The sequence below is a fragment of the Homo sapiens genome, chromosome 2 (assembly GCF_000001405.40).
Source record: "Homo sapiens chromosome 2, GRCh38.p14 Primary Assembly".
NCBI lineage: Eukaryota > Metazoa > Chordata > Mammalia > Primates > Hominidae > Homo > Homo sapiens.
The window spans coordinates 73,475,971-73,498,721 of record NC_000002.12 but is presented as its reverse complement, the minus strand read 5'-3'; the positions used below and the strand labels follow the sequence as shown (position 1 = coordinate 73,498,721).

At 39.9% G+C, this 22,751-nt stretch overlaps 1 protein-coding gene across 2 annotated transcripts in view, besides 1 other annotated feature; it reads right to left on the bottom strand.

Annotated features, from left to right (window-relative positions):
* Positions 1–22,751, bottom strand: part of ALMS1 (ALMS1 centrosome and basal body associated protein) — a 224,162-nt gene that overhangs the window by 111,198 nt on the left and 90,213 nt on the right. For both annotated transcript variants that reach the window (NM_015120.4, NM_001378454.1), the window contains 1 exon segment: positions 7,224–9,088. In NM_015120.4, the coding sequence (NP_055935.4) occupies positions 7,224–9,088 (1,865 nt within the window).
* Positions 11,383–11,902: an enhancer, noted in NCBI's record as "H3K27ac-H3K4me1 hESC enhancer chr2:73713947-73714466 (GRCh37/hg19 assembly coordinates)". NCBI's record gives its function as "activates a minimal SCP1, AML or CMV promoter by ChIP-STARR-seq in primed H9 embryonic stem cells {active_cell/tissue: H9 hESC(primed)}" and the evidence as "EXISTENCE:reporter gene assay evidence [ECO:0000049][PMID:30033119]".

Sequence of the window (22,751 nt, the reverse complement as noted above, 5' to 3'; positions counted from 1 at the left end):
TGGAACTAGAGATCATTACGTTAAATGAAATAAACCAGGCATAAAAAGACAAACACTGCATGTTGTCACTTATTTGTGGAATCTAAAAATCCAAACAATTGAACTCATGGACATAGAGAGTAGAAGGATGGTTACCAGAGGCTGAGAAAGGTAGTGAGGGGTTTGGGGAGAGATGGGGATGGTTAATGGGCACACACACACACACACACAAAATAGAAAGAATGAATAAGACCTACTATGTAACACAAAAGGGTGACTATAGTAAATAATGACTGTACATTTTAAAATAACTTAGTGTAATTGCATTGTTTGCAACTCAATGGATAAAAATGCTTGAAGGGATGTACCCCATTCTTCACAATGTCCTTATTTCACACTGCATGCTTGTATCAAACATCTCATGTACCCATAAACATATACACCTACTATGTACCAATGAAAATTAAAAAGAAAAAAAAAAAGAAATTTCTACAGCCACCTCAATCTTTAGCAATCACCACCCAGAGCAGTTAGCAGCCACCAACATCAAGGTAAGACTGCCACCAGCAAAAAGTAACTCACTGAAGGTTCAAATAATTGTTAGCATTTTTAAACAATAAAGAATTTTTAAATTAAGGTATGTACTTTTTTTAGACATGACACTATTATACACTTAATAGAGTACAGTATAGTGTAAACATCACTTGTATTATCACTGGGAAACCAAAAAATTCATGTGATCGGCTTTATTGCAGTGGTCTGGAACTGAACCTGCAATATATCTGAGGTATGCCTGTAAACCTATAGGCTTAAAAAAACTCAGCAAACCCCAAACAAGATGTACCAAAGAAATCTATACCTAGAAAAAGAAGACATTAAAAAGACACGTGCACACACTTGTACAGCAGCACAATTTGCAACTGCAAAGACATAAAAACCTAAATGCCCATCAACCAATGAGTAGATAAAGAAAATGTGGTATATATACACCACGGAATACTACTCAGCCATAAAAAGGAATGAAATAATGTCTTTTGCAGTAACTTTGATGGAGCTGGAGGCCATTATTCTAAGTGAAGTAACTCATAAAAACCTAAGTGCCCATCAACCAACGACAATTTTTAAATTAAGGTAGGTACATTTTTTTAGACATAACGCTATTATACACTTCATAGAGTACAGTATAGTGTTAACATAACTTGTACATGCACTGGGAAGCCAAAAAATTTAGGTGACCGGCTTTATTGCAGTGGTCTGGAACTGAACCTGCAATATATCTGAGGTATGCCTGTAAACCTATGGGCTTAAAAAAACTACATATTGGGTATGGTGTGCATACTACTCGGGTGATGGGTGCACTAAAATCTCAGAAATCACCACTAAAGAACTTATCCATGTAACCAAAACAACCTTTATCCCAAAAACTACTGAAATGAAAATTTAAAAATTAAAAAAAAGAAGAAACCCATATCTAGAAGCATAATCAATGTGCTGGAAAAAAATTAAAATAATCAGAGAAAAATAACACATTGTTCTTACATAGAAAACAATGACTCAAATGACTATGAATTTTTTGCCAGAAACCATGGAATCCAGAAGGAAGGAGCATATTTTTTAAGTGCTGAAAGGAAAGTATTGCCAACCCAATCACACGATCCATTTAAAAATCAATTAATTGGACTTGATCAAAAGGAAACACCTTTGTTTTTTGAAAGCCTTTTTTAAGAGGATAAGAAGACAAGTCGCATACTGTGAAGAGATATTTGCAAATAACATATCCAGAAAAGACTCGTATCCAGAATATATTAAGAACTCTCAAAACTCACCAATAAGAAAGCAAACAACCCTATTTAAAAAGCACTTCACCGAAGAGGATGGCAAATAAGCTCTTGAAACGGTGTTCATAATAATTAGCCATTAAGGAAGGACATGCAAATTAAAACTATGTTGAGATACCACTGTACAACTATAAAAATGGCTAAAATATATTGACAATTTACACATCGGTGAGGATGTGGAGTAACTAGAATGCTCACCCATTGCTAGCAGGAATGCAAAATGATACAGACACTCTGAAAAACCAGTATTAGTTTAGCTCTGAATAATTCTTACAAAGTTAAATATACACCTGTACCATATAACTCAGGAATCCTCTTTCTTAGTATTTACTGTAGAGAAACAAAAACCTGTATATAAATGTTTACAGCAGTTCTAATTTTAATGGTCCCAAACTAGAAACAACTCAAATATCCTTCAGTGAGTGAATGGATAAACAAACTCAATTACAATAAAATATTACTGCATTTAATAAAGCAATAAAAAAGCACTACTGATCCACACAAGATGGATGTGTCAAATGCATTTTGCAAAGTAAAAAATTCAGACCCAAAAGGCTGTTACATATTTTATGATTCCATTTGTGTGACACTCTAGAAAGGCAAAACTCTAAGGAAGAATACAGACCAGGGACTGCCAGGGGTGAGGGATCAGAGGAAAGACTGTCTCCAAAGGAACGGCATAGGGGAATTTGGGGATTGATGGAACTGCTCATATGAAACTGTAGCAATGGATAGAATTGTAAAGCACAGAAAGTGAAATTTATAAGTACGGAAATTTTCAAAGGTGAACCAGGATATGAGGCAAAGATGGAATGCAGAATGTGACTAATGAATCTATATTATAAATGAATCACGTACTCATACTGAAGAATATGGGGAAGGGAGATGCTGACTTAAGAAACTTTAGCAAACAGCATTTTTGTCTAGATATTTTAATGATAACTTCGAAACTGCAGATAAACACTGTACTCTAGATGCAGAATTTGTTTTTCATGTGGGTAGGGGCTATGAATTCTGAAACTATTTATATATTAGGGTAAATATATTACAGATAATGAGAGCCAGTTTTATCGCTATTAGAGACAGAAGTTACAAATAAAGAAAGGGGAAAGGCTAGAATCAACCTTGTGGATCTGTACTAGAGTCAGAGGTATCAATATGGACACATGATTTAAAACACACACACACGTTAAAAGATACAGATATGAGTATACACATAAATTTACAAATCTACCTATATTTCTTAGCTTTATTCACTGAGAAAGGCTAGACACAGCAACATCCCACCAGCAATGAGCATGCCAGGTCCTTACATCTTGCTTTCTAAATACTGTACTCCTTCCTCCCTTCAAAAATAAGAGGGTTTTTTGGCTGGGCATGGTGGCTCACGTCTGTAATCACAGCATTTTGGGAGGCCGAGGTGGGCAGATCACCTGAGGTCAGGAGTTCAAGACCAGCCTGGCCAACATGGTGAAACCCTGTCTCTACTAAAAATACAGAAAATTAGCTGGGTTTGGTGGTGCAGACCTGTAATCCCAGCTACTCTGGAGGCTGAGGCAGGTGAATTGCTTGAACCCGGGAGGTGGAGGTTGCAGTGAGCCAAGATCACGCCACTGCACTCCAGCCTGGGTGACAGAGCAAGACTCCGGCTCAAAAAGAAAGAAAACAACAACAACAACAACAATAAAAAGAGGGATTTTTAATGAAACAGTTGATTCCAGCTCTGGGGCAGGGTACAGGAGCCAACCTAAAAGTGCTCTAAAGAGCTAAAAAGAGAACTTGAGCAACAAAACAGTAATGGTAGCATTGGATTATAATCCAAATAATGAAATAAACACTAATGAGTCTACAGTAATGTAAATAAATAACCTAGGGCGGAATAAATGAGGGAAGAACAATTCTCCTTACAGAAGAATTCCAATTAACAAATGTAAAAGAGATGACAGACATAAAAAAATTAAAACACCAGAGTAATAACTGCTACAGCCAAGATCCACTCATGAATGCTAAAATTAGTAGTCAAAGTTTAAGCAGAAACAGGTTATTTGTATAGTCTAACAAAATCTCCCTCAAATGTTTAGTATCTCCAAAGGAAAAACAATAACCTTACAGTGGAGAATCCTAGCAGATACCACTTTAGCCAAGTGATCAAGGTTAACATCACCAGTAATGTATATCAACATAATGTGCTCTCTGTTGTGACGTGTTGAGAATGCATAACCCTAATCTAACCTTGAACCATCAAACAATGCTAAATTGAAGAAGCTTCTTCAAAATAACTGATTAGCACTCTTCAAAGCGTCAAGGTCATGAAAGACAAAAAAAGACTGGGAAACTGTCATAGATTGGAGGAGTCTAAGACATGACAACTAAAATGCAAGACGGAATCCTGGGTTGGATCTGAAACAAAAAAGGTTCATTTGTGGAAAAACCTGGTGAAATCAATGTTAGACTATATAGTTTTACACCAATAATAATTTCTTATTTTGATAAATATTTTATGGTTATGATGTTACGGTAAGATGTTAACATAAATGGAAGCTTCAGTAAAGGTTACATGGACAACCTCTAACATATCCCCCAATGACATCTACCTCCTGGTATTCAGGACCTTGTGGAATTCCCAACCCTTGGGTGAGAGCTTTAGACAGTGACTCATTTCTACTGAAGAGAATGTGGCAGAGGTGACGAGATGACACATCCAAGGGTAGGTTACAAAAAGACTGTGGCTTTTGTTTTGGGCACCCTCTCTTGCCCTCTCACTGCCTCACTAAGGGAAGCTTAGGTGTCATATTATGAGTGCCTTATAGAATCAAAAAGCCCATGTCTCTGGCCAAAGCCATGGCCATGTGAGTGAGGCTGGAAGCATATCCTCTCAGGCAAGCCCTGTGATGAGACCACATTTGCAGCCAATACCTTGTTTGCAACGTTCTGAGACAACCTAAGCCAGAAGTACCCAAATAAGCTACATTTAGATTTCTGACCTACATAAATTTTCACGTTTATTAAGTTGCTATATTTCAGGGTAACATGATACACAGCAATAGATAATACAGAAACTCTCTGTGCTATTTCTGCAACTCCTAAGTCTAAAATTATCTCAAAATGAAAAAGTTTGAATATATTTTATACACATATACTTTATAAATATTTTATACATACATACTTTATAAATTTTTTTTTTGAGGCAGAGTCTCGCTTTGTTGCCAGGCTGGAGTGCAGTGGTGCAATCTTGGCTCACTGCAGCCTCCGCCTCCCAGGTTCAAGCGATTCTCCTGCCTTAGCCTCCTGAGTAGCTGGGATTACAAGCATGTGCCACCATGCCCAGCTAATTTTGTATTTTTAGTAGAGATGGGGCTTCTCCATGTTGATCATGCTGGTCTCAAATTCTCAACCTCAGGTGATCCGCCCACCTTGGCCTCCCAAAGTGCTGGGATTACAGGTGTGAGCCACCGCACCCAGCCCTTTATAAATATTTTATAAGGTATTATATATATATTTACTTATATATATATGTTTTATGCATCTGTGTGTGTGTGTGTGTGTGTGTGTGTGTGTAGTTTGCCTTATTTATGGACTGTGGAGTTTGATAAACCTAGGTTCAAATGCCACCTCCAATGCTCAATGGCCATGTGATCTTGGGCAAAATATTTTCTCTAAGTCTCAGGTTTTTTAAATCCACAACTGAGGTAATAATATCTATTTCTGATTATTACACTAAGTATAATATAAGCATCCACTACAAACGTACACCCTGAACAAATGGCATTATTGTTAGTTCATATATATAATCATCTATTACTTTCTTCTCATTCATAGCTTTATCTCATTTTTAAGGTATTCAGTACAATACCTTAGCATTTAACCTTTGAAGAGTTTAAAAATTGTATATGAAATTGTCAATGTTTTAATTTCTAAACTTTTTTTTTTTTTTTTAAGTATCAATACTGACCAGCCTTGCCAACATGGCAAAACCTCGTCTCTACTAAAAATACAAAAATTAGCCAGGCATGGTGGTGCACGCCTGTGGTCCCAGCTATTCAGGTGGCTGAGGCGGGACGGGAACCCAGGGGGCGGAGGTTTCAGTGAACCAAGATCACATCACTGTACTCTGGCCTGGGTGACAGAGCGAGACTCTGTCTCAAAGAAAAAAATTTTAAAGGTATCATTACTGATCTCTATGGCACTCTACTATTTTTAACATTGAAATCAGAGATTGACCTTGTTTTTTTGCCCCAATCTATTATCTCAATCCCTAACTTTTAGAGCTATAAGGGACTTTTCAGCATTCCAACCCTTTCCTTCTACATATGAGTGCCAAGGATATTAAATCAGTTGTCCAGCATCATGGTTGGAAGTGTTGGAATTAGGGTTCAAATTCTAGGACAGAGTACTGTGTAGAGGAACAAATCCTTACTCTGATTAAACAGAATGCATTTGAATGCTCTTTCTCTTGCCCACAAACAACATCTTTTGGCACAAAAGATTTCCCAGTAGGAAAATAGAGATATCATCACCTGCTTCATAGGATCATGATGAGAACTAAGTAGGATAGCATATCTAAGTTCCTTATTGCCATGACTACTACCACATGTAGATTATGAATAAACATTTCTTTCTTCCTCCTTTCCAAGCCTAGCGCTCTCCACTGTGGTACGATGCCTCTTCAACTATAAGGTAAAATACTAAACATACAGGTAGTTCTGCTTCACCATATCATAAGAGGCTCATTAAGTAAAACTGAATTAATGGCAATGTGCTAAAATTGGGCTGAATAATATAAATCTAACGAACTTATCCCTGAATTGGGTTTCCTTTCCTACAATACTCTATGAGGTGGGGCATCATATCAGGGAGCACATTATGTTGACAGATGTTTTACTGGCGATGCTAATCTTCATCATTTGACTAAACTGGTATCTGCCAGGATTTTCCACTGTAAAGCCACTTTCTTTGTAAATACTAAATATTTGAGGGAAGTCATGAAATGGAACCAGAGAGCTGGAGAAGAGAGAGAGAGAGGGAGAGCGGGAGAGAGAGTGACCAAGCACCCATGTATGTGTGTGCAACCTCCAAAGGAGATCTTCAGCATATGTCCAACACAGTAAATAAATTCGTAATTGTATCATTGGATGATCAAAGATTCTTTTCAAGGTCATTCAATTTTTAAAAACACTTGATGTCAAGTCTTGCCAAAAGCCCTCTGAAATATAAATGCATTACTGTCACATGTTCTCTCTTACTTAACACATTTATTCCTTGAAAGACTTCTAGTAATTAGCCAGACACAACCTCCACTCAGAGAAATCACACGGCCTTTCCCCCAAGAACCGATATCTACTTAAGTATTTGAAACCCTTTATTACAAAGTCCATCCAGCTTGCTTGTTATCACAATGAGACTCACCGATCTGCAAATACTGGGGTCCCCTCTGGATTGGAATGTCCTTCGAAATCTGAAATGTTCACTTGTATTTGCCTGGAGGTTACTATCTGGCTATTCTGAGAAGGTATGGTTTTCAAGTCCTGAGTAATAGTGTTACTGTCTGGAAGAGAAGGCTGTACGACTTGGAAATCCAGTGAAGATTTAGGTCCTAGAAAACCTAAAGATTCTTGATCCTGTGCTACAGGTTTACTGGTCAATAATTTGGAGGTTGGTTCCAGTGATCTCGAAGATACAGTATGTAAGTCAAAGTTAAACTCACTATTCATCCTCGCTTTAGAAGCAGCATCCAATGAATGGAATCTTTCATCTAAAGTTCCACTATCCAACTTGGAAGAAGTCTTGGGACAAAGAGTTATATGAACACAAGAAAGTGCTTTTCTATTTGAAGGAGGAGTAGATGCAGATGCTGCTAATGTACAGTGATTTGGGGCTGACTGGGAGACCACAGTATTGAACTTGGCTTCAACATTTATATTAGAAATGTGTGATTTAGGCTTATGTTGATTATTCTTTTCCACTACACAATCCTGACCTTGAGGAAGGGGAAAATGGTGTTTATTCATTTGGTCATCTACACCTGGCGCTTTGCTTTGGCATTGTTCAAGAGAAATGGGAGACGGAAGGTCTGAAGCTATAGAATCCTGACCTTGAGGAAGGGGAGAATGGTTTTCTCTCATTTGATGATCTACATATGGGGCTTTGCACTGTTCAAAGAGTTCTCGTTGTTCAAGAAAAATGCAAGAAGGAAGGTCTGGAGCTACATAATCCTGATGTTGAGGAGAGGGAGAATGGTGTTTCCTCACATGGTCATCTGCACGTGGGGCTTTGCTTTGTTCAAAGAGCTCTCGTTGTTCAAGAAAAATGCAAGAAGGAAGATCTGGAGTTATAGTTACATTCTTCTCTTTTACTCCTAGTCTGGAACTCGATCTGTTTACTCCTAGGGTGGAACTTGGTCTGCCCATGCTAATAAGGGTATGGTTATCAGAAATCTGAATTTCCTTGAAATTGCTACAATTTGCCCTGGTACTGGGCTCAGAATGACTGCCTGTAAAATCTGATCTTTCTAAGGGTTTTTCTTCTTGAAAAGAACGCTCAAAATCAACAGGTAATTTTTGGCTTTGCCTTCTACCTTCTGCTAAAATAGTCACTTCTTTATCTTGTGAATTACTATGCATTTTAAATGATGAAGGGGAAGAGGTTTTCTGTTTAAGATCTCTGGGAGGATTTTGTTCTTCAGTGAAATGAGAATTAAATACCCCCACAGATGCTCCAGTACACTGGCTACCTTCAGTAACACCAACCTTAACAACAGAGGAATTGGAAATGCATTTAGAATGTCGGTGAGATGAAAAAGTGATGGAGGTAGTAAACTTTTTCATGGGTTCTGGGGACGGCATTTGTGATGAAGAATGAAAATCCACTTCTTTAGGTGGCACAAAAGCAGGTTCTACTAATTCTGACAGCCAAGGGTCCATCTTTTCATCGAATGGCATTCGAAGACCTTTGCTGATTTTGAATTCATCAGGTATAAAGTTCTGAAATGGGGAATGACTTTTTAACTGCAAGGAATTCCAAACTTTGAAATGGGAGTTGTTCTGGTCTAAGGATGCAGAAAGGTTGACATGCTTGGCTCTGCATGATGATGGGTTCTGCCGTCCTCTGGTCATTTCTGAGGGTCCAGCAGATCTGAAAGCACAAGGGTGTCTATCTAGTTGTGGATGTTCAGAAGTTAGAGTCCGGAAACATCCCTTTTCATGGCTCTCAATAATAATGTGACTACATACAGCTTCTGGCTTGCATCCCATTCCCCGTGGACTCTGTAAACCCTAGAAGATACAAACAAACAGGTTCTTATTTGAAGTAGTCCAAGTAGTTATAAACAAATCAGTTTTATACAAATCAGTTTTATACCCACGCTAAGATTAGACCATGAAGGTCATGTCATTCTTTTATAATATAACAGGACAAAGAGCACAGCAAGCAAAAAAGACAGTTAACTACAGAATAAAATGGCTCACAATGATTAAGACCACTCAGAGAGTTCTTCTAAAAAATTTCCACTAAAGTAAACAGCAAAGATTACTATTGTCCACCAGTAAGTATTCTCACCTTTCTTTTAATAATAGAAATGCCTTACTCAAATTTTTGCTGGCCACATAGCCACCAAGTGGGAGACATTTCCTGTTTCTTCTGCAGCTAGTTGTAACCACATTACTAGACTGACACCAATGGGATATGAATGAAGGCATCAAGTACAACTTCTGCTTCCTGTCCTTAAAATCAAGTTCTTGACCTGCATGTTCCCCCAATATCACCACCACTATCATCACTATTTTTCTTGCCTCCTGAAAATGGTAATGCATGGAACAACCTTGGAAGTCATGTGTAAGACAGCTTAGTTGTCCAGCCAGCTTGGGTCCCTGGATGACATCAAGGAACAGAGCTCACTTTCCTAACATGAACAATGACGTGAAAAAATAAAATTCTATCTTATTTGAGCCACTCTATGTTTGGCTATTACAGAAGCTTGACCTACATCCTAATATTTTACCCCTAACAATGGGGGGAAAAAACCAAGACCTTGTTTCCTGGCGCATAGGATCAGTACTCAAAGCTACCATAAATATAACATTTCTTTGAGATTTCTGTATTTTACCTATACAGTCATTATAACTTGGCATTCTATTTGATGATATAGCAACATCTGATTTCAGATAAAAATATTTTAAATTATGCTGCATCTCCCCAGGTGATGGAGTAGATATATTTTTGATGGCAGCGGCATCCCATCTGGAGTGGCTGCTGCAATGATGCCAGCTGCAGTGGGGAAGGAACAGCTAGGGCTACTCGCTGTACTGAGGTGGTGGGAGCCAGGAACAGGCAGAAGCCCCACTCCCTTCTGAGTTGGAGGGGCAGGAACCCCACCCTCCTGGGCACAGCTGCAGCTGCCCAGTCACAGCTGTAGACCCAGGCACCACTGCACTTTCGGGGATCTGGGAACTCCCCCTGCCCCTGCAGGCTCAGAAGTGCCTGCTCCCACTGCCAGGCCTCTCCCCACTCCTGGTTCCCGCTCCAATTACACAGCAAAGTTGAGGCCAAGTCCAGGCACTGTTGCGACCCAGCCAGGTGTGCGCACACTTGGGACAGCACTGTCACACCAGCCCCCTGCCGCCCCTCCAGACACTGGGCACCCACAAGCACAGGAGGGAGGTTGCAGGGGCAGGGAGGGCTGAGGGCAGCTCAGAGTGGGCCTGCAGGCGCCCCCTGACATAAACAGCCTGGGTGTGCCATGGGTACCGTAGATGGCAGAGATGGCAGACAGGCTCCTGGGCAGAAAGGGGCAGGTCACCAGTGAAGCTCCACCTTTAAGCCAGGGATGGGTTGAAGGGCTGCCAGTTTCGCAGAAAGGAGAACTTATAGTGCTTTTTCCGGGCCTGCCCATGGACCAATTGGCATGCATCTCCTCCCCTTTGAAGCCCATAAAAACCCTGGACTCAGCCAGACTTGGAGAGACAATGGAATGACCTGCCTGCAGATAGGAGCTAGCCACTCCGGGTCTCTTCTCTGCTGAAAGATGCAGATTATGGGATGACCTGCATGCAGGTAGGAGCTACCCACTCTAGGTTCTCCTCTCCACTGACAGATGGACAGTCATCAGGATGACCTGCCTGCAGAAAGGAGCTACCCACTTTGGGTCTCCTGAAAACTGTTCTGCCACTCGATGAAACTCCTCTCCATCTTGCTCACCCTCCAGTTGTCCACATACCTCATTCTTCATGGATGCAGGACAAGAGCTCAGGATCCACCAAATGGTGGGACTAAAAGAGCTGTAACACAAACAGGGCTGAAACATGCCCCCTCCCCGCCTGCCATGTTGCAGGGAACAAGAAGAAGAGACAAGCTGTGGCCTTTCGGGAAGCCCAGACCTAGGGGGTCCCTGAGCCAGGACTATGACACCCTCTTTGGGGTTTTGTGGTTCCTGGTGTCTTCCAAGCTTCCAGTTGCCACCACCACATTTCCCTCACCCAGATGTGGGTGCCCACAGCAGAAGCCACGCACAGTACATCTGGTCCAGCTGCAGCCTTGCGTGGCGCCAGCACCAGTGCCAGCACTGGAGCTGCCTGCCCTACCACAGCCGTCAGCATGCCTGGCTGTGTACAGTGGCTAGACCCCACACTTGCTTGCCCACACACCCCTCACCACTCCACACCTGGCTCATGCTTGGCAGGTGTAAGACATAGCATAGTAGTGCGAGCCAAGCACAGCCTGCCAGGCCAAGTGCGGAGAATGTGCCCAGCAGTGTGAACAATACTCAGGCAGAAGGTGCTGCTGGCCACAGTGGTTTCCAGCTTGCAAACTGACACCCTGAGGATCCTGTGACATTTTTCTTTCTTTTCTCTTCTTCTTTGTTTAAGACAGGGTCTTGCTGTGTCACCCAGGCTGGAATGCTGTGGCACTATCACTGAAGCCACGACCTCCCAGGCTCAGGCGATCCTGCCACCTCAGCCTCCTGGATAGCTGGGACAACAGGCACATGCCACTACACCGGGCTAATTTTCTTATTTTTATTTTTGTAGAGACTGGGTCTCACTTTGTTGCCCAGGCTGGTCTCCAACTCCTGGATTCAAGGGATCCTCCTGCCTCAGCCTCCCCAAAGTGCTGGGATTACAGGCATGAGCCACTGCGCCTGGCCAGATGTACTTTTCCCTATTTCTCCTGCTAAGTATAATTCAGCCCACTGGAAAATATATATAAAACAAATGTAAGAAGAATCTGAAAGATGTAGAGAAGAACGTAGATTAGCTAGAGATCTAGGGACCTGAGGAATTATGCTGTGGTGCAATCACTGGGTTTTCTTTTTCTCTTGCATATACAGACTTGGAGCTGAAGAAGTCAGCTACCCAGGAACAATGGACACAGACAAAAAACCCTAACAAGAGCTTTTCTCACTAGCTAAAAACCCAGTAGAGGTGAAGCCTAGCAAAAGAGAGAACTTTTAAATAATAACCATTCTACTCCAGCCAACCATCACAGAAAAAACTAGACCCACTCACACCAACACCAGCAAAGGCCAAGTGAGGAACCCAGGACTTACTTTCATCTCTGCTGGCTGATAAAGTGCTATCCCTTCCTTGCGGCGTCAGTGAAAGTCTAGCGAAGCCTACCTAGACTATCCAGCAAAACAAAATGCCCCTCTCTCTCCCAGCTACAGGTTACAAGAAAATATTTGCAAACCTCATATCCAACAAAGGTCTTGTATCTGCTAGCCTTACATCTAACATATATACTAACATATATATACAATTCACAACAGTAAAAAGGGAAAAAAAAGACAATCCAATTAAAAAATGGGCAAAAGAGGGACAGGAGCCAAGATGGCCGAATAGGAACAGCTCCGGTCTACAGCTCCCAGCGTGAGCCACGCAGAAGACGGTGATTTCTGCACTTCCATCTGAGGTACTGGGTTCATCTAACTAGGGAGTGCCAGACAGTGGGCGCAGGTCAGTGGGTGCGCGCACCGTGTGCGAGACGAAGCAGGGCAAGGCATTGCCTCACTTGGGAAGCGCAAGGGGTCAGGGAGTTCCCTTTCCTAGTCAAAGAAAGGGGTGACGGACGCACCTGGAAAATCGGGTCACTCCCACCCGAATACTGCGCTTTTCCAACCGGCTTAAAAAACGGCGCACCACGAGATTATACCCCGCACCTGGCTCCGAGCGTCCTAGGCCCACGGAGTCTCGCTGATTGCTAGCACAGCAGTCTGAGATCAAACTGCAAGGTGGCAGCGAGGCTGGGGGAGGGGCGCCCGCCATTGCCCAGGCTTGCTTAGGTAAACAAAGCAGCCTGGAAGCTCGAACTGGGTGGAGCCCACCACAGCTCAAGGAGGCCTGCCTGCCTCTGTAGGCTACATCTCTGGAGGAAGGGCACAGACAAACAAAAAGCAGCAGTAACCTCTGCAGACTTAAATGTCCCTGTCTGACAGCTTTGAAGAGAGCAGTGGTTCTCCCAGCACACAGCTGGAGATCTGAGAACGGGCAGACTGCCTCCTCAAGTGGGTCCCTGACCCCTGACCCCTGAGCAGCCTAACAGGGAGGCACCTCCCAGCAGGGGCACACTGACACCTCACACGGCAGGGTATTCCAACAGACCTGCAGCGGAGGGTCCTGTCTGTTAGAAGGAAAATTAACAAATAGAAAGGACATCCACACCAAAAACCCATCTGTACATCACCATCATCAAAGACCAAAAGTAGATAAAACCACAAAGATGGGGAAAAAACAGAGCAGAAAAACTGGAAACTCTAAAAAGCAGAGCACCTCTCCTCCTCCAAAGGAACACAGTTCCTCACCAGCAATGGAACAAAGCTGGATGGAGAATGACTTTGACGAGCTGAGAGAAGAAGGCTTCAGACGATCAAATTACTCTGAGCTACGGGAGGACATTCAAACCAAAGGCAAAGAAGTTGAAAACTTTGAAAAAAATTTAGAAGAATGTGTAACTAGAATAACCAATACAGAGAAGTGCTTAAAGGAGCTGATGGAGCTGAAAAACAAGGCTCGAGAACTATGTGAAGAATGCAGAAGCCTCAAGAGCCGATGCCATCAACTGGAAGAAAGGGTATCAGCGATGGAAGAAGAAATGAATGAAATGAAGCGAGAAGGGAAGTTTAGAGAAAAAAGAATAAAAAGAAATGAGCAAAGCCTCCAAGAAATATGGGACTATGTGAAAAGAACAAATCTACGTCTGATTGGTGTACCTGAAAGTGATGGGGAGAATGGAACCAAGTTGGAAAACACTCTGCAGGATATTATCCAGGAGAACTTCCCCAATCTAGCAAGGCAGGCCAACATTCAGATTCAGGAAATACAGAGAACGCCACAAAGATACTCCTCGAGAAGAGCAACTCCAAGACACATTAATTGTCAGATTCACCAAAGTTGAAATGAAGGAAAAAATGTTAAGGACAGCCAGAGAGAAAGGTCGGATTACCCACAAAGGGAAGCCCATCAGACTAACAGCGGATCTCTCGGCAGAAACCCTATAAGCCAGAAGAGAGTGGGGGCCAATATTCAACATTCTTAAAGAAAAGAATTTTCAACCCAGAATTTCATATCCAGCCAAACTAAGCTTCATAAGTGAAGGAGAAATAAAATCCTTTACAGACAAGCAAATGCTGAGAGATTTTGTCACCACTAGGCCTGCCCTAAAAGAGCTCCTGAAGGAAGCACTAAACATGGAAAGGAACAACCAGTACCAGCCGCTGCAAAATCATGCCAAAATGTAAAGACCATCAAGACTAGGAAGAAACTGCATCAACTAATGAGCAAAATAACCAGCTAACATCATAATGACAGGATCAAATTCACACATAACAATATTAACTTTAAATATAAATGGACTAAATGCTCCAATTAAAAGGCAAAGACTGGCAAATTGGATAAAGAGTCAAGACCCATCAGTGTGCTGTATTCAGGAAACCCATCTCACATGCAGAGACACACATAGGCTCAAAATAAAAGGATGGAGGAAGATCTACCAAGCAAATGGAAAACAAAAAAAGGCAGGGGTTGCAATCCTAGTCTCTGATAAAACAGACTTTAAACCAACAAAGATCAAAAGAGACAAAGAAGGCCATTACATAATGGTAAAGGGATCAATTCAACAAGAAGAGCTAACTATCCTAAATATATATGCACCCAATACAGGAGCACCCAGATTCATAAAGCAAGTCCTGAGTGACCTACAAAGAGACTTAGACTCCCACACATTAATCATGGGAGACTTTAACACCCCACTGTCAACATTAGACAGATCAACGAGACAGAAAGTCAACAAGGATACCCAGGAACTGAACTCAGCTCTGCACCAAGTGGACCTAATAGACATCTACAGAACTCTCCACCCCAAATCAACAGAATATACATTTTTTTCAGCACCACACCACACCTATTCCAAAATTGACCACATACTTGGAACTAAAGCTCTCCTCAACAAATGTAAAAGAACAGAAATTATAACAAACTATCTCTCAGACCACAGTGCAATCAAACTAGAACTCAAGATTAAGAATCTCACTCAAAACCGCTCAACTACATGGAAACTGAACAACCTGCTCCTGAATGACTACTGGGTACATAACGAAATGAAGGCACAAATAAAGATGTTCTTTGAAACCAACGAGAACAAAGACACAACATACCAGAATCTCTGGGACACATTCAAAGCAGTGTGTAGAGGGAAATTTATAGCACTAAATGCCCACAAGAGAAAGCAGGAAAGATCCAAAATTGACACCCTAACATCACAATTAAAAGAACTAGAAAAGCAAGAGCAAACACATTCAAAAGCTAGCAGAAGGCAAGAAATAACTAAAATCAGAGCAGAACTGAAGGAAATAGAGACACAAAAAACCCTTCAAAAAATTAATGAATCCAGGAGCTGGTTTTTTGAAAGGATCAACAAAAGACTGCTAGCAAGACTAATAAAGAAAAAAAGAGAGAAGAATCAAATAGACACAATTAAAAATGATAAAGGGGATATCACCACCGATCCCACAGAAATACAAACTACCATCAGAGAATACTACAAACACCTCTATGCAAATAAACTAGAAAATCTAGAAGAAATGGATAAATTCCTCGACACATACACTCTCCCAAGACTAAACCAGGAAGAAGTTGAATCTCTGAATAGACCAATAACAGGATCTGAAATTGTGGCAATAATCAATAGCTTACCAACCAAAAAGAGTCCAGGACCAGATGGATTAACAGCCGAATTCTACCAGAGGTACAAGAAGGAACTGGTACCATTCCTTCTGAAACTATTCCAATCAATGGAAAAAGAGGGAATCCTCCCTAACTCTTTTTATGAGGCCAGCATCATTCTGATACCAAAGCCAGGCAGAGACACAACAAAAAAAGAGAATTTTAGACCAATATCCTTGATGAACATTGATGCAAAAATCCTCAATAAAATACTGGCAAACTGAATCCAGCAGCACACCGAAAAGCTTATCCACCATGATCAAGTGGGCTTCATCCCTGGGATGCAAGGCTGGTTCAATATATGCAAATCAATAAATGTAATCCAGCATATAAACAGAGCCAAAGACAAAAACCACATGATTTTCTCAATAGATGCAGAAAAAGCCTTTGACAAAATTCAACAACACTTCATGCTAAAAACTCTCAATAGATTAGGTATTGATGGGACGTATTTCAAAATAATAAGAGTTATCTATGACAAACCCACAGCCAATATCATACTGAATGCCCAAAAACTGGAAGCATTCCCTTTGAAAACCGGCACAAGACAGGGATGCCCTCTCTCACCACTCCTATTCAACATGGTGTTGGAAGTTCTGGCCAGGGCAATTAGGCAGGAGAAGGAAATAAAAGCTATTCAATTAGGAAAAGAGGAAGTCAAATTGTCCCTGTTTGCAGATGACATGATTGTATATCTAGAAAACCCCACTGTCTCAGCCCAAAATCTCCTTAAGCTGATAAGCAACTTCAGCAAAGTCTCAGGATACAAAATCAATGTACAAAAATCACAAGCATCCTTATACACCAACAACAGACAAACAGAGAGCCAAATCATGAGTGAACTCCCATTCACAATTGCTTCAAAGAGAATAAAATACCTAGGAATCCAACTTACAAGGGATGTGAAGGACCTCTTCAAGGAGAACTACAAACCACTACTCAAGGAAATAAAAGAGGATACAAACAAATGGAAGAACATTCCATGCTCATGGGTAGGAAGAATCAATATCGTGAAAATGGCCATACGGCCCAAGGTAACTTACAGATTCAATGCCATCCCCATCAAGCTACCAATGCCTTTCTTCACAGAATTGGAAAAAACTACTTTAAAGTTCATATGGAACCAAAAAAGAGCCTGCATCGCCAAGTCAATCCTAAGCCAAAAGAACAAACCTGGAGGCATCACGCTACCTGACTTCAAACTATACTACAAGGCTACAGTAACCAAAACAGCATGGTACTGGTACCAAAACAGAGATATAGATCAATGGAACAGAACAGAGCCCTCAGAAATAATGCAGCATATCTACAACTATCTGATCTTTGACAAACCTGAGAAAAACAAGCAATGGGGAAAGGATTCCCTGTTTAATAAATGGTGCTGGGAAAACTGGCTAGCCATATGTAGAAAGCTGAAACTGGATCCCTTCCTTACACCGTATACAAAAATTAATTCAAGATGGATTAAAGACTTACATGTTAGACTGAAAACCATAAAAACCCTAGAAGAAAACCTAGGCATTACCATTCAGGACATAGGTGTGGGCAAGGACTTCATGTCTAAAACACCAAAAGCAATGGCAACAAAAGACAAAATTGACAAATGGGATCTAATTAAACTAAAGAGCTTCTGCACAGCAAAAGAAACTACCATCAGAGTGAACAGGAAACCTACAAAATGGGAGAAAATTTTCGCAACCTACTCATCTGACAAAGGGCTAATATCCAGAATCTACAATGAACTCAAACAAATTTACAAGAAAAAAACAAACAACCCCATCAAAAAGTGGGCGAAGGACATGAACAGACACTTCTCAAAAGAAGACATTTATGCAGACAAAAAACACATGAAAAAATGCTCATCATCACTGGACATCAGAGAAATGCAAATCAAAACCACAATGAGATACCATCTCACACCAGTTAGAATGGCAATCATTAAAAAGTCAGGAAACAACAGGTGCTGGAGAGGATGTGGAGAAATAGGAACACTTTTACACTGTTGGTGGGACTGTAAACTAGTTCAACCATTGTGGAAGTCAATGTGGCGATTCCTCAGGGATCTAGAACTAGAAATACCATTTGACCCAGCCATCCCATTACTGGGTATATACCCAAAGGACTATAAATCATGCTGCTATAAAGACACATGCACACGTATGTTTATTGCGGCATTATTCACAATAGCAAAGACTTGGAACCAATCCAAATGTCCAAGAATTATAGACTGGATTAAGAAAATGTGGCACATATACACCATGGAATACTATGCAGCCATAAAAAATGATGAGTTCATGTCCTTTGTAGGGACATGGATGAAATTGGAAATCATCATTCTCAGTAAACTATCGCAAGAACAAAAAGCAAACACCGCATATTCTCACTCATAGGTGGGAATTGAACAATGAGATCACATGGACACAGGAAGGAGAATATCACACTCTGGGGACTGTGGTGGGGTGGGGGGAGTGGGGACGGATAGCATTAGGAGATATACCTAATGCTAGATGACAAGTTAGTGGGTGCAGCACACCAGCATGGCACATGTATACATATGTAACTAACCTGCACAATGTGCACATGTACCCTAAAACTTAAAGTATAATAATAAAAATAAATAAATAAAAATAAAAATAAAAAAAGAAAATGGGCAAAAGATACAGACATTTCACTTAACAGGAGAAAGAGACTGGAAACAGAAATATTAAAAAATGTGCAACATCAAAAACCATTAGGGAAATACACATTAAAAACTTAATAAGATACCACTACATACCTATTAGAATGACTAGAATAAAAATAGTGACAGTATCAAATGCTGGTGAGGATATGGAGTAGACGGATTACTCACACACTGCTGGTGGGAATGTAAATGATATAACCACCCTGGAAAAAGGTGTGGCCTGTCTTTCAAAAAACTAAACATGCAACTACCACATGACCCAGCAATTGCAATCCTGGGCATCTACCCCACAGAAACAAAGACATATTCACACAAAAACTTGCATATGAATGTTTACAGCAGCTGTACTGGTAAAGCCAAAAACTGGGAAACAACCAAGATGTCCTTCAATAGTGAATATTTAAACTGTGGTGCATTCATACTTTGGAATACTATACATCAATAAAAAAGAAAAACTACTGATACATAAAACAGTCTGGATGAATCTCCAGATAAGTATGCTGAGTGAAAAAAAGGCCAATACAATAAGGTTGCATACTATATGTTATCATTTATATGACATTCTTGAAATTACAAAGTTATAGAAACAAAGGAACAAATTAGTGGTTGCCAGGAGCTCAGTAAAAGGTGGGGCAGGAGAGAAGTGGAAGTAGCTATTATAAGGTATCATGAGGCACCTTTGTAGTGATGTAAATGTTCAGTATCTTGGCTGTATCAATATCAACGTTGTGGTTGTGATATATCACCACAGTTATGCAAGATGTTACCACTTGGGGAAATTGGGTGAAGGGTATATGTGATATCTCTATATTATTTATCACATGTGAAACTACAATTATTTCAAAACAAAATGTTGACTTAAAAAAAATTAAATACCACTGGACAAAACTAACACTTTAAAAATGCCACTTTTTGCCCATCAATGATAGACTGGATAAAGAAAATGTGGCACATATATACCATGGAATACTATGCAGCCATAAAAAAGAATAAGACCATGTCCTTTGCTGGGACATGGATGAAGCCGGAAGCCATCATTCTCAGCAAACTAACACAGGAACAGAAAACCAAACACCACGTGTTCTCACTCATAAATGGGAGTTGAACAATGAGAACACATGGACACAGGGAGGGGAACATCACACACCGGGGCCTGTCGGTGGGGTCAGGGGCAAGGGGAGGGAGAGCATTAGGACAAATACCTAACGTATGCAGGGCTTAAAACCTAAATGATGGGTTGATAGGTGCAGCAAACCACCATGGCACATGTATACCTGTGTAACAAACCTGCACGTTCTGCATATGTATCCTGGAACTTAAAGTAAAATAAATAAATAAATAAATAAATAAATAAACGAATAAATTACTAAATAAATAAAAATATTCGTCATTAGCTGATAAAAATAGATGTAAAAATTTTATTTGGGCAAAAAAAATGTTGTTTTTATTCTGTGGCTTCTTATTGCCTTGATACCTCCTGACATATCAGTGGGAAGCAAATATCCGAATTTGAGAAACATAAACCTATTCCAGCCTCTTAAAAGTATGCATGAGTAGATTTATACTCATCCCAAAATATATTTCTCTTCTTCCTTTCCAACAATTATATCTTACAAATTTTTTAACACTTCATGCTCTACCTCCTCCCATTGCATCTTTCAAGCTTTCATAATAACCTTTCCATTTTAAAAATTCTTGTAGCTTTAGTATTTGCCAAGTAAATTTCAGTATTTTCACATAACCATTTCCAAGTAATTTTACAACAAACCAACCACATGTCATTAGATATGTAACAGGCTCTTAAAAGCTACTGTTCAGTTCAACAAAACCCAATACGTTTTTGTGATAAAATTTCTCAGCAAACTAGGAATGGAAGGGATTTCTTTAACCAGATGAAGAGTACCTATGAAAGACTCAGCGCTAACATAATACCGAATAATGAAAAGCTAGATGCTTTCTCCCTACAATCAAGAACAAGACAAGTATGGCCATTCTTACCTCTTCTATTCAGTATCATATTGGATGTTACATATTGCCAGGGCAACCAGGTTAGAAATTAAAGACATCTAGATTGGAAAGAAAGAAGTACAACTATATCTATTTGCAGATGACATGAACTTCATACAGGAAATCCCAAGGAAACCAGGACAAACCAATTAAGACTAATAAGTTCAGCAAAGCTGCAGGATGCCAGTGCAATATACAAAAATCAACTGTATTTTAATACACTAGCAATTCACAATCCAAAAATAAATTTTTAAAAAAAATTCAATTTACAACAGCAAGAAAAAGAATTAAATACTTGAGAATATATTTAGCAAAATAAATATATGTCTAGTATACTAAAAAACATAGAATGAAATGGAAGAAAATCAAAATAACTAGAAAACTGGCTCATGTTTATGGACTGAAAGATTAATACTTCCTAAACTAATCTAGAGATTCAAGTGGTAATATTTCCCATAGTAATCTAGAGATTCAATGCAACTCTTATTAAAAGCCTAGCCTTTTTTTTTTCAGTAATTGACAAGCAGATCATAAACCCAGAACAGCCAAAATAATCTTGAAAATGACAAACATCGTTGGAGGACTCACTCTTTCCGATGTCAAAACTTACTCCAAAGCTACAATAATCAAGACAGCACAGTGCTGGCATAAGGACAGTCATGTAGATCAATGGCATAGAACCGACAGTCCAGAAATAAACACTAACATTTATGGTAAATTGATTTTCAGCAAAGAGGTCATGAAAATTCAACAGGGAAAGAAGAGTCTTTTCAACAGTGCTGAAACAACTCAATATCTATATGCAAAGACGAATTTGCATGCCATACATAAAAACTGACTCAAAGGAGAAAGGCAACAAAAGTAAAAGTTGATAAATTGGACTAAATCAAAATTTAAAACTTCTGTTCACCAAAGGACACCATCAACAGAGTGAAAAGGTAACCTAGAAAATGGGAGAAAATATTTGCAAATCATGTACAATAAGTCTTCACTTAACATCATCAATAGGTACTTAGAAATTGCACCTTTAAGTGAAACAATGTACTGAATACCATAGGAACTTAACTCTTGTTTTATCAATTAACTTATATCAGTTTGTTTTGCTATGCTATACGTCACTTCACTTACAGGTCAGTTTCCAAGAACTTAACAAAGATGTGAGGCAAAGACTCACTGTATCTGATGCAAGGTTAATATCCAGAACATATAAAGGACACTTACAACTCAGGAACAACAACAACAAAACCTGATTCAAAGATAGGCAAAAATAATAGACATTTCTCCAGAGAAGGTATACAACTGGCCAACCAAAAATGAAAAGAAGCTCAATATTACTAATCATAAGGGAAATGAAAATCACCACCACAATGAGACATCAATTCAGACCTGTTAGAATAGCCATTATTAAGAAGGAAAAAAAAAAACAAAAAAAAACAGAAAATAACAAGTATTGGCAAGGATGTGGAGAAATCAGTACCCTCGAATACTGCTGGTGGGAATGTAAACAGTGTAGCCCTTATGGAAAACAGTACGGAGCTTCCTCAAAAACTTAAAAGTAGAATGACTGTATGATCCAGGAATTCCACTTTTGGGTCTGTACCCAAAAGAAGTGAAAGCAGGACCTTGAAGAGATAATTATAACAAGCATGTTCACAGCAGCACTATTCACAATAGCCAAATGGCAGAAGCAACTCAAGTGTCTATCAACAGATGAATGGATAAACTTTTGTTTGTGGCATACACATACAATGGAATAATATAATCTCAAAAAAGAAGGAAATTCTGACATATAGTACAACATGGGTGAATTTTAAGAATATACTACTGAATGAAATAAACCAGTGGCAAAAAGACATATACTGTGTGATTCTGCTACTATAAGGTACCTAGAGTAGCCAAATTCATAGAGACAGAAAGTAGAATGGTGGTTGCTAGGGCCTAAGGGGAAGGGGAAAATGGGGAGTTGTTGTTTAATGGATATAGAGTTTCAGTATTACAAGATTTAAAAAGCTATAGAGATTGGTTAAACAACAA